We start from the raw sequence: 13885 nt of genomic DNA, 5'->3' as shown, positions 1-13885 counted from the left end.
ACTACTGCATTCCAGCCTGGGTGACAGAGTGAGACTCCATCTCAAAAAACAAACAAAAAAAAGTTTGAAAAATAATGATTATTTTCAAACAATAATAAAAAATTGATGATAAAACAAAATCTCTCACAGGTCCAACAGAAAAAAATAAAGCTGTAAAACAGCAAAAGGAAATATATGTTTGCAAAACAATTTTAAAAAATCAAAGTATTCATCTACTGAAAACGTTTTGGATTAAAATGGCAATTTATACATGAACCATAATTCATTTCACTTTTTTTTTTGAGACGCAGTCTCACTCTGTCACCCAGGCTGGAGTGCAGTGGCACGATCTCGGCTTCCGCTCACTGCAAGTTCCGCCTCCCAGGTTCACGTCATTCTCCTGCCTCAGCCTCCCGAGTAGCTGGGACTACAGGCACCTGCCACCATGCCCAGCTAATTTTTTGTGTTTTTTTAGTAGAGACGGGGTTTCACCATGTTAGCCAGGATGGTCTCGATCTCCTGACCTCGTGATCCACCCACCTCGGCCTCCCAAAGTGCTGGGATTACAGGCGTGAGAATTCGAAGACACAGAAAACAAACTGCCAGTAAGGCCTTTTCTCATATCCTGTAGTACAGGGATCCCCAACCCCTGGGCCACGGACTGGACTGGTGCTGGTCGGTGGCTGTTGCAAACCCGACCACATAGCAGGAGGTGAGCGGAGGGCTAGCGGGCAATATTGCCTAAGCTCCGCCTCCTGTCAGATCAGTGGCAGCATTAGATTCTCACAGGAGTATGAACCCTATTGTAAAACACGCATGCAAGGGATCTAGTTTGCACGCTCCTTATGAGGATCTAATGATAAATGTACTGTGCTTGAATCATCCCAAAGCCATGCCCTCTGTGGAAAAACTGTCTTCCCTGAAACCAGTGTCTGGTGCCAGAAAGGTTGGGAATCTCTGCTGCAGTATAATAAAGGTTTGTTTGCTTGTTTTAGGCTTGTCAGATATTGACAAATTTTTAAACAGCTGTCAACTAAATTCTGCGGTTCAGTTTCATTTGGTCCCCAAATTGCTGTGGTCTTAGAATATCTATTTCTATTTCAGTGATAGTATTTCCAGACCTTCCTGCTAAATATGCATCTCATTTCCTGGCCTTTATCCCCTATCAGTTTAATCACCCCCAAGAAAACACTAAAATTTCTTGTATGTGTTGCCAAAAATAAGTAGACTCCAAGCTGTATATAATATCCACTTTTTCACATCAATATACATATGTTATGGTTATTCTTTGTATTAGGAACCACCAACTAATCACCATTATGATTTCAGACTCATCTCTATTTCAAAAATAATTTGGCATATCTTCCTTATGTTATACCAAAGTTTACAAGAGATCCCTATGATAATTTTTCGAAATATAGGTTAAGTTCAAGTAATGTCCCTATTATTTTTCTATTTGAATTTTATGGCCACTAAAAATGTTATCTATTCCAAATAACCTTTTCCCAGAGGTTCAGAAAGTCCACAAACAAATGCATATGCCACCTAATACATGCTTAAAATGCTGATGCTGCTGTGCTTTGAAACTGTACTCTATTAAGAAAACCCTGAACAACTAACTCATAGTTTGTTAAATAGTGTAGGAGCTTTAAAGAACTTATTCAATCCCTCTCCTTAGGAGATACCACACAGAGGTCAGTCAAGACTTCAAAAATTTATAGGAATCCTTTCCTAACCTCTTTACCCCTAATCTTTACATTTAAGGCAAATTCCTCCCATTGTCAACATCAAAGAGTTTTAAAAATCAGTCTTTGCTTTCTGCTTCTAAATTACATGGAGAGATAGTTACATAATGGCATGATCTATGCCCCAGGCTTAAAACTACAAAATTACATGTAAGTTCTCTGCTTGCCATCTGCCCTACATATTGATAGACAAATTTTCCTAAATCACATTTACTATGTAATTTGACTATTGCAAAAAGAGAAGAAAAAAAAAGGAATCCCAGCTTCCAATGGCAATACTACTCCGACTGAGCCATTCAGATGCCCTTCCCTGGTCACTCACATATCTTTACCCTGCTCTATCTCCTTGCTTTTGCTAATTTCATCCCATTCCCACCCCCAGTGCAGACACACAGGGAATACACACCGCCCCCCTGCCCCACCCACCCCAACCCCACTCCCAGCTGGCTGCCCTGCAAGGCTCTGAAGCTCTGAGCATTCTAGACAACAACAGGATTTTACCTTCTGAGAAATATGGTCCATCTGGCCACGACCATGAAACATAGCATTTAATTAGTTTAATGCAAAACAAAACTATGGGTAAAATTTGTTTTTCAAACCTTCAATAAGCTCGCCAAAGCATACAATCTGTCCTTATACATTTTTGTCTCTCTCAAGGCGATGAAAGCAGCCAAGTGTTTGTGACATTTTTCTCTTTTTTTTTTTTTAGCATCTTAAAATGATTGTACAATATAGATAACAAAGTCTGCCACCATAGCCATTTTTAAGTGTGTGGTCCCATGTTCACACTTGCACTGCAGTTCCAGTGCCCAGCCTTGTGCAACCATCACCACCATCTGTTTGTCTCCAGAGCTCTCTGAGACATTCTGGTCACCGTCTATGGGAGACAGACAAAATCCTCAGTGTGTTTCTAATGATAAAAACCCAGTTTTAATTCATAGAATGGAACACTTAAAAAGTGTTTATCTTGCTGTACATCAATCATACTTGAGTAACACTGATTACAAATAAAGTAAGGAGGATACAGTGGCAGAGGAGGCTGGTGACAGTTGGAACCCAGATCGCAGAGGGGCAGGTGACGGGACGGAGATGGGCATTTCATCAGAAGGCACAGGGAGCCTGGGAAGGGGCTGCAGGAAGCAGCAGCATTCATCACTCTTTCATTGCCAGCATTTTCAAGCACCTCCATTCCAGACATTGTGCCAGACACTGGAATTGATCAGACGTATGTTTCAGAAATCGTATCCTAGCTACAGCGGAGATGGTCAAGGAAGTGAAACTAGCGGTTTTTGTAATCAACCCAGAAAACAGTACTAAATTAAGGCAGCTGCAGGGAGGATGGAGGCACAGGTTGTAGTATTTTCAGTTTTACCTATTAATAGGGCTAACATGAAACCATGTATTGCATAATTTTGTTCCTAGTTTTTAAATCCCTCAAACCAATAGTTATTTTGGCTTGAATTTTATGCGGCACACTCAACAAGCATTAATTAAGATTTGTCAGCAACAAATAACTTGTTGTTGTATAAATAAAAATACGTAAGCATGTGTTATGTTCAAGGAACTGTGGTAAAAATGGTCTAATTAGATCAATATCATTTGGGTGGAATATTTATGGGCTAGTGAGAAAGCTGTTATTCCACAAGGCTTTTGGGGGTTGAAACTGGAGAGAAGTGGAATGTTTATCAGTGCAGGGAATGGCTGAATAGATTGCAGGAAACCCCCCTGTGAAATGGCATGCCCTGGGTCTATACATAGTAACTGGGAATGGTCTCCAGAATACACTGTCAGGTGAAATGAGTTGCAGAAGGCTCTGCACAGCATGATGGCATTTATCTAAAATCCTTGATTTGTTTGTATACATAAATATCTCCATACCTACAGAGAAAAAGGTCAGGACAGATAATACGGAAGGAGGTTTGGGGGCGAGAGTGGAGGGAACTTTCAGTTAGTGTTCCATATAGCAACATGAATACATCCATGTGTTCCTTACACAGAAAAATCCACTTTTATAGGTTAGTATGCCAAGTGAGTAGACTGCATTACATCACAGGCTTACAGTTCTTCCCTACAATCTTTATTGGCAATTCAAGTCCTATAATGATCCTCATAATAATGGCTAAGGCCATAAAATGTGTGTGTGCATGCACACATGTGTATTTTTTTTTAATTTGCCAAATTGCCTTTAGACTACATTTTTAAGTGATTAGTAGTTATGTATCTTAGAGGGCATCTGAGATGACAACATATTGGCTATTGTAAAGAATCGCTCCTTGAGTTACAAGAAAACCATTTAAGATAAATAAGTAATGTATTTAATTTATTCTTACTTAAGTAATTAATTATAAGGGTTACCTTTAGAACAAAAAAGTATTCTTTGCAAATAAGCAAATCAACTTACAATAATCTTTGATCTTACAGTTCACAACACACTAAAATTGCATGCAAGTAAGTAGTACTTTCCTATTTTTAAAACTATATTTGAAGTGCATGTTGATGCGAAAGAAGTAATTTGGCAGTGGTAGGTAGGCTCTGCCTGAGTCAAGGCTCTAACCATATAGGCTCGGTCAAGGATTTTGCTTTCTTGGTTTTCAAATTAATATCCCCGAGAAATACTAAATAGAAAATTGGGCATGGAGTGGTGCAGACTTTAACATTTTCTTTAACTTTATAAAGAATGTTTAAAAGGCTGTTTACAAAAGACCATTTAACAACTGCTGCTCAGCTACAATTGAAATATATTAATTTGAGGCACGCATGTGGCACTTTCAGGGCCTCCTTCCAAATAGAATTTTTCAGGCAGACTAAAATTGCACTCTTCTCAGACTCAGCCCACTTGAAGTAAAAAAAAAAACACCAGCAAGATAGTAGGTGTAAATGACTAAGAAGGGGCCCTAGGGGACGATCTGAAAAGTGAAAGATTGGGAGCTCCACGCAGAATGTCTTGATAAGAAGTCTAGACTATCTGTAATTTGCTGATTGTGAAGAAAACGAGATTATTAAGAAACCGTGAAAGCCAGCAGCTACAGGAGCACAAAATGCTGGGAAGCCTGGGATAGCACGAAGAAACAGAGATTCTAATACCCTTTTACACGATGGTCCATGACCCTACGATACCTCTTTACACTATCGTCCATGACCTTGAGTGACGTTGAGGAGTGACTCCTACCACAGACACAGAAAAATGTAGGAGCAGGAGGGGGACAAACACCTTTAAGTGCCAAAAGGGAATTGTAAAAATAAGAGAAGAGAGAAACCACTAAAGTTCTTACACCAATATCTACAAGTTCTCACCCAGAGTGAACTGAGTTGAATATTACAGCACAAGACCAGCAGACAAATTGTGAATAATTTTTTAAATTATTGATTTTAACCTCACTATACTGAATAAAACGTCAATTATATCACCAAATCTCTCAAGCCTCTGCTGTGTATTTTCTTCCTAGGGAAATACACTTAAGCAGACAGGGCACCTCCCACAAAAGATTCAAATTAGGAAGAATGGGTCAGTTTCAGGACTTTAACCAGATCCCTTTTGATTGCTTGGAACATTCCTTAAGAATCAGGGCTGCTCCCCAGCCCACAAGGGGCTTTTGTGTGAACTAGAAGAGGCATCCTCTCTGCAAGTGCACACGTCTTGGCGAATAGGCTGGCCCTTGTGCAACTTAGAAAAATGCATTGCTGTTTCCAGTTGGGCTCCGGGCAGCTGAAGAGATGAATGAAGTAGCACAGGTTATGTTTCTGCTTCATTTACTCTTTTGGCCCGGTTGTCTTGGGCCATGAACAACCTGCACAACTTGGGGAAATCACTCTTTAGTAGTTTAGTTACCAGATGTGTGACATGAACTTATATGTTTGACCTGAATGATTGAGTAGGAAAGATTAGACAACCGGGTAAAGAAGTAGTTAGTTACAGCTACCTTAGCAAGGCACTTGTTATTAATAGTTATTTGAACCCAGTATTGTCAGAGCTTACATCAGAAAAAGTTGATTTCTTCCTTGCTTATTATTTTTACTAAGAGTCAAGAAATCAGATATAAAATAACCCATAGTAGAATGAAGCATTAAAACACCATAATTAACATTGCCTTCCTCCATAGACAAACATAGTTGGAAACGATTAGTCATGATGGCCTCAAAAGCCACCCCCTTTATAGCAGGGCTGTAATCCCACTAATAGCAAACATGAAGTGACTTTTCCATTTCTTCCTGGGCCCACCCCTCTAGCAGGCACGTTTGTTTTACTGGTAACTGAATCAGCATCTTGGAAAATTGTCTGACAACAGAATATGAACTCACTGCAATATTGTCAATGACCTTGCTGTTTTACTCCCCACTATCCCCTCACTCCCACACCCTTCCCACGTAAGTACCAGTGTCCAAGTATCCCAGAAGCAGTGAATGGATGCTAGGAAACTTGCAGAGTCTGTGAGAAATAAGGCAGAAATCAGGCCCCCTTGTTCATTCCAGCAACACCTCAGCGATCACCTGGCAAGGTGTAGGCCTCTGCTGATAGGATCTGACCCCTGTGGAAGGGCTGTGAGTATTAGCAAGATTCTACCCCAGCCAAGGACACAGAGGAAGAGGCATGGCAAAGAGGAACACAGGAGGAGAGCTAGGAGGAAGGCATGTCCGGGTAGGTAAGAAAGGCTGCAGATGCCCGCTTTGGTCATCCAGCATGAGGATCTAGACCAGAATGGCGAGCCCAGCTTCACAGGAGCTTACATGTGACCCAGGCTGTAGAAAGTCACAGCAGCATCTTTTAATTTTACATGAACAAAATCCTGCCTTGAAATGACTTTAAATACCTCAAGATATCCTCTTAAAAGAACTTTCTCTTCAAGGAAAAAAAATACCCCTTCTTACCTCAATAATATACAGGACCACGTTCTTATAGAAGCAGTACAAGATGCACTTGGTCACCCGGTTGTAGCTCCAGGCTCCATGAACCAACAGAAGCTTCTCTAAGTAGGAAAACTGAAAAAGGAAAATTACAAAGCTCAGAAGAGCCCATCATTGAGGAATAAAAGTCACAAACAGAATGTCCTTATGAACAGAAGTCAGATAATGTAGGTAGAGGAAACCAGATTCCGCAGGAATCTCAGAAAACCATTCTCTGAAGACAGAGCTTTCAGGCCCAGTGAGAACAAGTAAAATCCTTCTTGAAACTACATTATTATTATTTTCCCTAAACATACTGCTGGACTCCTAATTGTTATTCTTATGAAATTCTATTTAAACAAATGCTTTTTTGTAATTGAATTTTAAGTTCCAGGATACATGTGCAGGATGTGAAGGTTTATTACATAAGTAAACATTTGCCATGATGGTTTGCTGCAGTTATCAACCCGTCACCTAGGTTTCAAGGTCTGGATGCATTAGTATTTAATCTGATGCCCTCCCTCCCCCTGCCTCCCCAACAGGCCCCAGTGTGTGGTGTTCCCCTCCCTGTGTCCATGTGTTCTCATTGTTCAGCTCCCACTTATAAGTGAGGACATGTGGTGTTTGGTTTTCTGTTCCTGTGTTAGTTTGCTGAGGATAATGGTTTCCAGCTCCATCCAAGTCTCTGCAAAGGATATGATCTCATTCCTTTTTATGGCTGCATAGTATTCCATGGTGTATGTGTATTGCATTTTCTTTATCCAGTCTAGCACGGATGGACATTTGGGTTGATTCCATGTCTTTGCTATTATGAATAGTGCTGCAATAGGGATTAATTATTAAACAAAGGTGAGCTACTAAACTGAAAGAAAAGTACAGTGGAAGTCAGATATCTCTAAGCAAACACAGATTTTTTCAGTGACAAAAAGAGCAAGGGACAGGGACACTCACACAATACAGTCTTGTTTAAAAGAAAAGTACACACAGGTGCACATACACTACTTCCACTAACAACTGCGTAGTTTAAAAAGTTACACACACATATAGACACACACGGATGTACACACATAGATACACAGAGACACATAACAGGCACAGATAAACAGACACATACAGGCAGACACACACACCTAGACACAGAGATAGTGGCACACAGGACAGAGATACACAGAGACACACATACACACAGACACACATACATAGATACTCATACAAATACACATGTACACATAGATATACTAAGACACACACACACTTTGCCTCCACTTCTTGACCCATTTTGTCTTCTCCTTTTTTGCCTCCAACCAGTACAGAGCCCCTCTGGCCAGAGTGCTATGCAGTCAGGGGCTGCTGGTGGGTCCCAAGCTGGGAGTGATGTGATGGCTCCTGTGGTTTGAGTTGGAGCCATAGATAATCCAGTAACATTCAGGAATCCTCACTGGGGGAGGGGGTCTCTGGACACCACTCAGATCGTATCTCCTCAGCCACCCCTTAGCCTGGCTTTGCCTTCTGTGTGCCGTTTCATAAAGGTCCCAAAAAGTGTAAACCTTGCGCTGGAGGGAGGGAAACGAGTTTCTCTGGTCTGGTGCGTGGTGTCCTGCTCTGGCATAAATGTGCCGTTAGCTGCAACCCTGTTTACATCACGTTTCTACACATTTGATATGCCTTACACTGGATTTGAGTTCCCTCTTAGTTCCCTTGCATGAAAACCTTAATGCCTCCTGTTCTAAGTCAGAGTGTCAGTAAGTCCACAAGCTTGAAACCTATTACACTACTAGGAGAGACAAGCAGGCTGTATTGAGAATGCCCAGGACATTAGAAATTCTTTTGCAGTTATATACTTCTTATTAATTTCAGATGACTTTGGAAATTAAACGTAACTCTCAGCTGGGCACAGTGGCTCACACCTGTAATCCCAGCACTTTGGGAGGCCAAGGCGGGCAGATCACCTAAGGCCAGGAGTTCAAGACCAGTCTGGCCAACGTGGTGAAACGCCGTCTCTGCTAAAAATCCAAAAAGTAGTCAGACGTGGTGTTGGGTGCCTGTAATCCCAGCTACTCAGGAGGCTGAGGCAGGACAATCACTTGAACCCAGGAGGCGGAGGCGGAGGCTGCAGTGAGCCGAGATCCAGCCACTGCACTCCAGCCTGGGCAACATGAGTGAAACTCTGAATAAAAAAAATAATAAATAAATAAATAAATAAATAAATTAATTAATTAAATGTAACTCTCAATAGAAAAGAAATGACCAGACTGAAAATACAATACTTAAACAAAAAATTTTCAGGAGGAAACTGCATAATAATCTCCATTAGCACTAAAGAAAGGACTCCATCCTAGGTGGAGTCCCAGCTCAGCATGTTCTTCCAGGAGGTGAGGGGAAGGCGCGGGGCTCACCACGCATTCGGAATCTAAATCATCGCTTCGAAGTGGCAGAAGTAGGTGCACATGGAAAAATAAAACTCCCCATAAAGGCTCATTAAGGATTCCAAAGGGGAATGGGAAATCATAAAATAACTAGCTAAACAAATAAAAAGGAAGTTTGTATTTGACCGGGACCCCCTGATGTTAAACTTCAATGGGCACAGAAAACATCTGCTTGAGTCATCCTGAATGCCTCAACTTGAGCACTACAGTGATTTGTTTTCAGGAAAAAAAAATGTATATTCTAAATCAAAATGCTGTCATCATGAGGTCGTTCTGAAAACATTAGGAGGGCAGGGGGCAGGAATGATTCTCCCGAGGAGAATGGAAAGCCAAGGGCTAGGGGAGCACCATGACTCAGCGACGGCAGCAAGGTTGCTCAGGACAAGGCAGCTGAAAAAGGACGGCGCTCGGTCTTGGGCTGCCCATGTGCATAAAAGCACAAGGTAGGCAGGGAAGAAATAGAACCAGAGCTTTGCCCACTTCGTAACTTTCCCAAGGTAAGTCTTTGAGCTAACATTTTTTTCTTTCTGAGTATAATAACCCTGAGGGTACTTCCTCCGAAGCGTAATAAAAAAAATGCATCCACATTAAAATGAACAGATAAAGCCCAAGGCGATAAACAACCAGAGATGTTTACCATTTCAAGAGAGGCAAAGAAATTCATCAAGCTGTGGCTTTTCTGGCATGGTGACTAAGGTAGAGGCAGCATGTTGGTTGGTGCAAAGGTTATGAGGTTAGCAGGAACCTGCCCTGAAGTAACAGCATCCCCACCTAATCGGCAATAGGACCATGGACAGGAGAAATGAGGGTGCACAGAAACATGTGGGCTGCATCAGTTCCTTTGGCAGAAGTGACTATGATGCTGGAGGGGCAAGAAAACCCCCAATGGCGTTTTAAAGCCTCGCTCCCTGCTCCACCCTTCTTTGACACTTTTAATTTGAAGAGAGCAATTGCTCTGGATAACACATCCTATTCCTATGCAGTTCCAGTAAAGCAGGTCATGGGATCTCCCTTCCCTAGACATTTTAAAGAAAAAGACAGACAAATATTTGCCTGGAACTCCTAGGAAACCTCTTAAGATCCCTTCCAGCCATATGATGTTATAACTCAAGTATTTAATAATGCTGGGGTGTATAACATCTATAGTTGCTGACAGACTACAGGAAGTGCGAGTCCCACAGGCCTCAAAGCATTTGACTCAGGAAAGTAAACAGGCAGGTGTGCGTGGGGCCGGCCCCCAAGTTCACACTCAGGTCCGTTGTTTTCTGACCCCAAGATGCTTGCTTGCTTGGACCTGATGTAAGTCACCTGATACGAAGGAACCCCGGTTTTCCCACCTATAAAGTCAAGATTCCTTCTCTTACCTACTTCAGAAATTATCTTGAGGATTTATTTGAAATCAGCAAAGGAAGAAGATTGATTGCATGCACTTTTCAGAGCCAGGAGGATTTTGTAATTTCTCCCTGCATCTGCAGAACTGTGAGCTGAGAAGAAACCTGAGAGGTGATCTAACACAGAGCCCCCGCTTTGGAGAGGTGGAGCCCCAGAACTGCAAAGGACTGGCCTGAAGCCCTGGGGCTATAGGAAGCTCCTTCACATTTTATATGCAGCACCTGATTTCAGGTTGAAGGGGTGTGTAGCCATTTTTCCTTGTGTTCATGTGATTAAGGTGAACACATTCTTCAAACACCTCAACACCGTAGAAACACAAGGGAATTCCTGCTACCCAGCCGATGAGCAGGCATCTATTCATGATGTATCGCAATCTGGAGACAGAGGGACAGGCCCTGCATTCGCTGTGATGTCTAGGTTTTCTGGGTGATCCAGCAGGCCAAATCATCTAGATATGTAACCGCCCAAGGGATTCACCTTGCCCACTGCCTAGACAGAGCCGATTCATCAAGACAGAAGAACTGCAGTAGAGAAAGAGTAATTCATGCAGAGCCGGCTGTGAGGGAGACTGGAGTTTTATTATTACTCAAATCAGTCTCCCCAAGCATTCGGGGAGCAGAGTTTTTAAGGATAACTTGGTGGGTGGGGGTAGCCAGTGAGCCGGGAATGCTGATCAGTCAGGGAAGAAATCATAGGGAGTCAAAGCTGTCTTCTTGAGCTCAGTCAGTTCCTGGGTGGTGGGGAGCCACAAGATTAGATGAGCCAGTTTATTGATCTGAGTGGTGCCAGCTGATCCATCAAGTGCAGGGTCTGCAAAATATCTCAAGCACTGATCTTAGGAGCAGTTTAAGAAGGTCAGAATCTCGTAGCCTCCAGCTGCATGACTCCTAAGCCATATTTCAAATCCTGTGGCTAATGTTAGTCTAGTCCCCAGGCAAGGAGGTCTGCTTTGGGAAAGGGCTGTTACCATCTTTGTTTAAACTATAAAGTATAAACTGAGTTTCTCTCAAAGTTAGTTCAGCTTACGCCCAGAAATGAACAAGGACAGCTTGGAGGTTAGAAGCAAGATGGAGTCGGTTAAGTTAGATCTCTTCCACTGTCTCAGTCATAATTTTGCAAAGGTGGTCTCAGATATGCACCCTACGGGTTAGGAAATTGGCTATCTTCCTTCACCTTTGGGCTATCATTACGGAGTGGACCTTTCTTTCATCCTCAGGCCACCAGTGCAGTACAGCACATCAGGAGCCCTGGCATGCGAGGCTCGGATCAGCCTCCGCTGGACTGAACTTGGCCTAACTGCAGGAGGCTGATTGCTACTGACCATGGGGTCATTATGGCCCAAACCCAGCTCGTGCTCTTGGCAATTCACCTCACAGGGGTGGTCCTGGACAGCACCCCTCTCATAACTACAGAGAAGGCGACAGCTGTAATCACTGCTTCTCCCTGACCTTAAGCACCTAGCCAGGGGGTGTCCCAACACCTTTGGGAGGAGTGAGACTGGAACAGGATTATAGAGAAAGGCTGTCATGAGCACAGCTGTGCTTCAGCAGGCAATGCAGCAGAAAAAGCCATGCAGCAGATGCAGAAGCTGAAGGTGAGAGGTTATTATTAGCAAGATCAGAGACCTATCTGCCAGGAGCAGCACCTTGCCTGGATCACAGAGCAGCTTGGCCAACCCCATAGCTGGCCAGAGAAATCCAATCAGCAGGACAGGGCCTCCAAACTGCACAAGATCACAACTACAGAGAATTCCAAATATCCCCGGGGTTTCATCTAGACAGCAACCTCAAGAGGGGTGGCAGAGGTTTGGAGATGCACTGAAGGTTAAACGCCAGGTCCTCATGCCCAGCTATCATCTCTCAACAGGACAGGGCAGCTGGACGCCCAAGCTGCTGACCTGTGCGATGGCGTAATCCGAGTTGTTGGTGGCCTGCATGCCTTCATTCCCACTGATTCCCACACCCACGTGGGCTGTCTGGATCATCCCGACATCGTTGGCGCCGTCTCCGATGGCGAGGGTGATGGCCTTCACCCGCTTCTTCACCACATCCACTATCTCAGACTTCTGCAGAGGAGACACTCTGTGAGAAAAGAGAGGGAAATCAGAGCTATGCATGTCTTTCCAGAGGAAACAGCTGTAATCTACATTCCGCTGCATTAAAAGGACAGTTACTGGACGATCTCCAAATTCAATACATCCATTTTATGCTCATGTGCAAAGAAGCTTTCAGAAAACAGTAGCTTGTGGCTTTCAAGTATTTGCCAACTTCTCAGATGAAATATACAACAGAAAACTAACTTAAAACACAGCCTATTTGTAATCACTCTGCTAAGTGGGAGGCATCTGCACAAACTCCTCGGGGGTACGTGTGCCCTGCTGAATGATAAAGGAAGTCAGTCTAGTTACAGGGGTCTTCGGAAATGTCTTTCCAATAAATCAGAAAACCAGCACAGACCTCCTTTTGCTTTATGGTACATCATATACAACCTAGGGCTGGCAAGGGAATTTTCTGTAAAATCTGCTTTTACAGAAGGGAAAGGAAATTGGCAGGGCATGATAAAGTGCAGAAAGAAGGCTGGGGTAAGAGCAAAGAAAAAAGACTTCCCTACATCCGCCCCAGAAAATGAAGCTGTGTTTGAAGGGCAGCCAAGGCAGAGGATCTAGGATGGGAGTCAGGGAGTGGAAGTCTCCCCTTGTTGAGCCATGCAGAAGCACAGCCCTAAAGGGGGCAAGAAGATCAGCCCCTGCATAGGAAGGGTTCTTTCCACAAGGAATCCAAGATGGCGGCCAAGCTTTCCTAAGTCCTCAAGTCGTCTGGGAAGAGGAGCCAGTATAAATCTGTGGGGTCTAAAGCAGAGGGGTATTCATGATAATGAAGTGCTTATTCAGAGTGTAGACCACAAAACACAGCAACACGAAGCAAAGACTAGCATCTCAGGACTGAGTGACTCTACATTCTGAATTGGTAAGCTGATGCTTGATTTGCGGGATTTACAGGTAAGCTTTTGGATCACTTAAACAGCACTTGCCCCCCCACCACCCCCCCCCCACGCCACCACACACACAGAATAAACACAAAGTAAAAGATTTTTCTGGATTTCACAGAGGTCTACTGGCCACGCCCACATATGGACTTCACGCATCAGCTAGAATGGACACTCAAAGATTTGCCCAGTAAGAACTTCAACAGCTCCTAGATGGTCTCTACCCACAAAGATACCTGTTCCAAACAGAAAACTGAAGTGCTACCTGACATCTCATTCTACCAACTTGAGAAAGAAATGCATTTGGCGAGACAGCAAACTGAATGTAGAACCATGTAAAAAGCCTTTGCTCAGTGACAAAGATAAAAATTAGAAAGTTAGAAAAACATAATGAAAGGACTTTAGGAGCTGGGTTGCACAATCTGATATCCCTTTTAGCATTTTCACAAGGGTTTGCAATGGCAGCAATTCGATGCC

At 43.1% G+C, this 13885-nt stretch overlaps 1 protein-coding gene across 10 annotated transcripts in view; it reads right to left on the bottom strand.

Moving 5' to 3' along the window:
- The window catches only part of ATP8A2 (ATPase phospholipid transporting 8A2), a 653878-nt gene that overhangs the window by 244302 nt on the left and 395691 nt on the right, over positions 1-13885 (bottom strand). For all 10 annotated transcript variants that reach the window (NM_016529.6, NM_001411005.1, NM_001411006.1 and 7 more), the window contains 2 exons: positions 12321-12504; positions 6591-6701 (listed from right to left, as the gene is read on the bottom strand). In NM_016529.6, the coding sequence (NP_057613.4) occupies positions 6591-6701; positions 12321-12504 (295 nt within the window). The remainder of the gene's footprint in view (positions 1-6590; positions 6702-12320; positions 12505-13885) is intronic.

This window comes from Homo sapiens, chromosome 13 (assembly GCF_000001405.40).
Source record: "Homo sapiens chromosome 13, GRCh38.p14 Primary Assembly".
Taxonomy (NCBI): domain Eukaryota; kingdom Metazoa; phylum Chordata; class Mammalia; order Primates; family Hominidae; genus Homo; species Homo sapiens.
The sequence above is the reverse complement of the archived record's forward strand: the minus strand, read 5'-3'. Positions and strand labels throughout refer to the sequence as shown.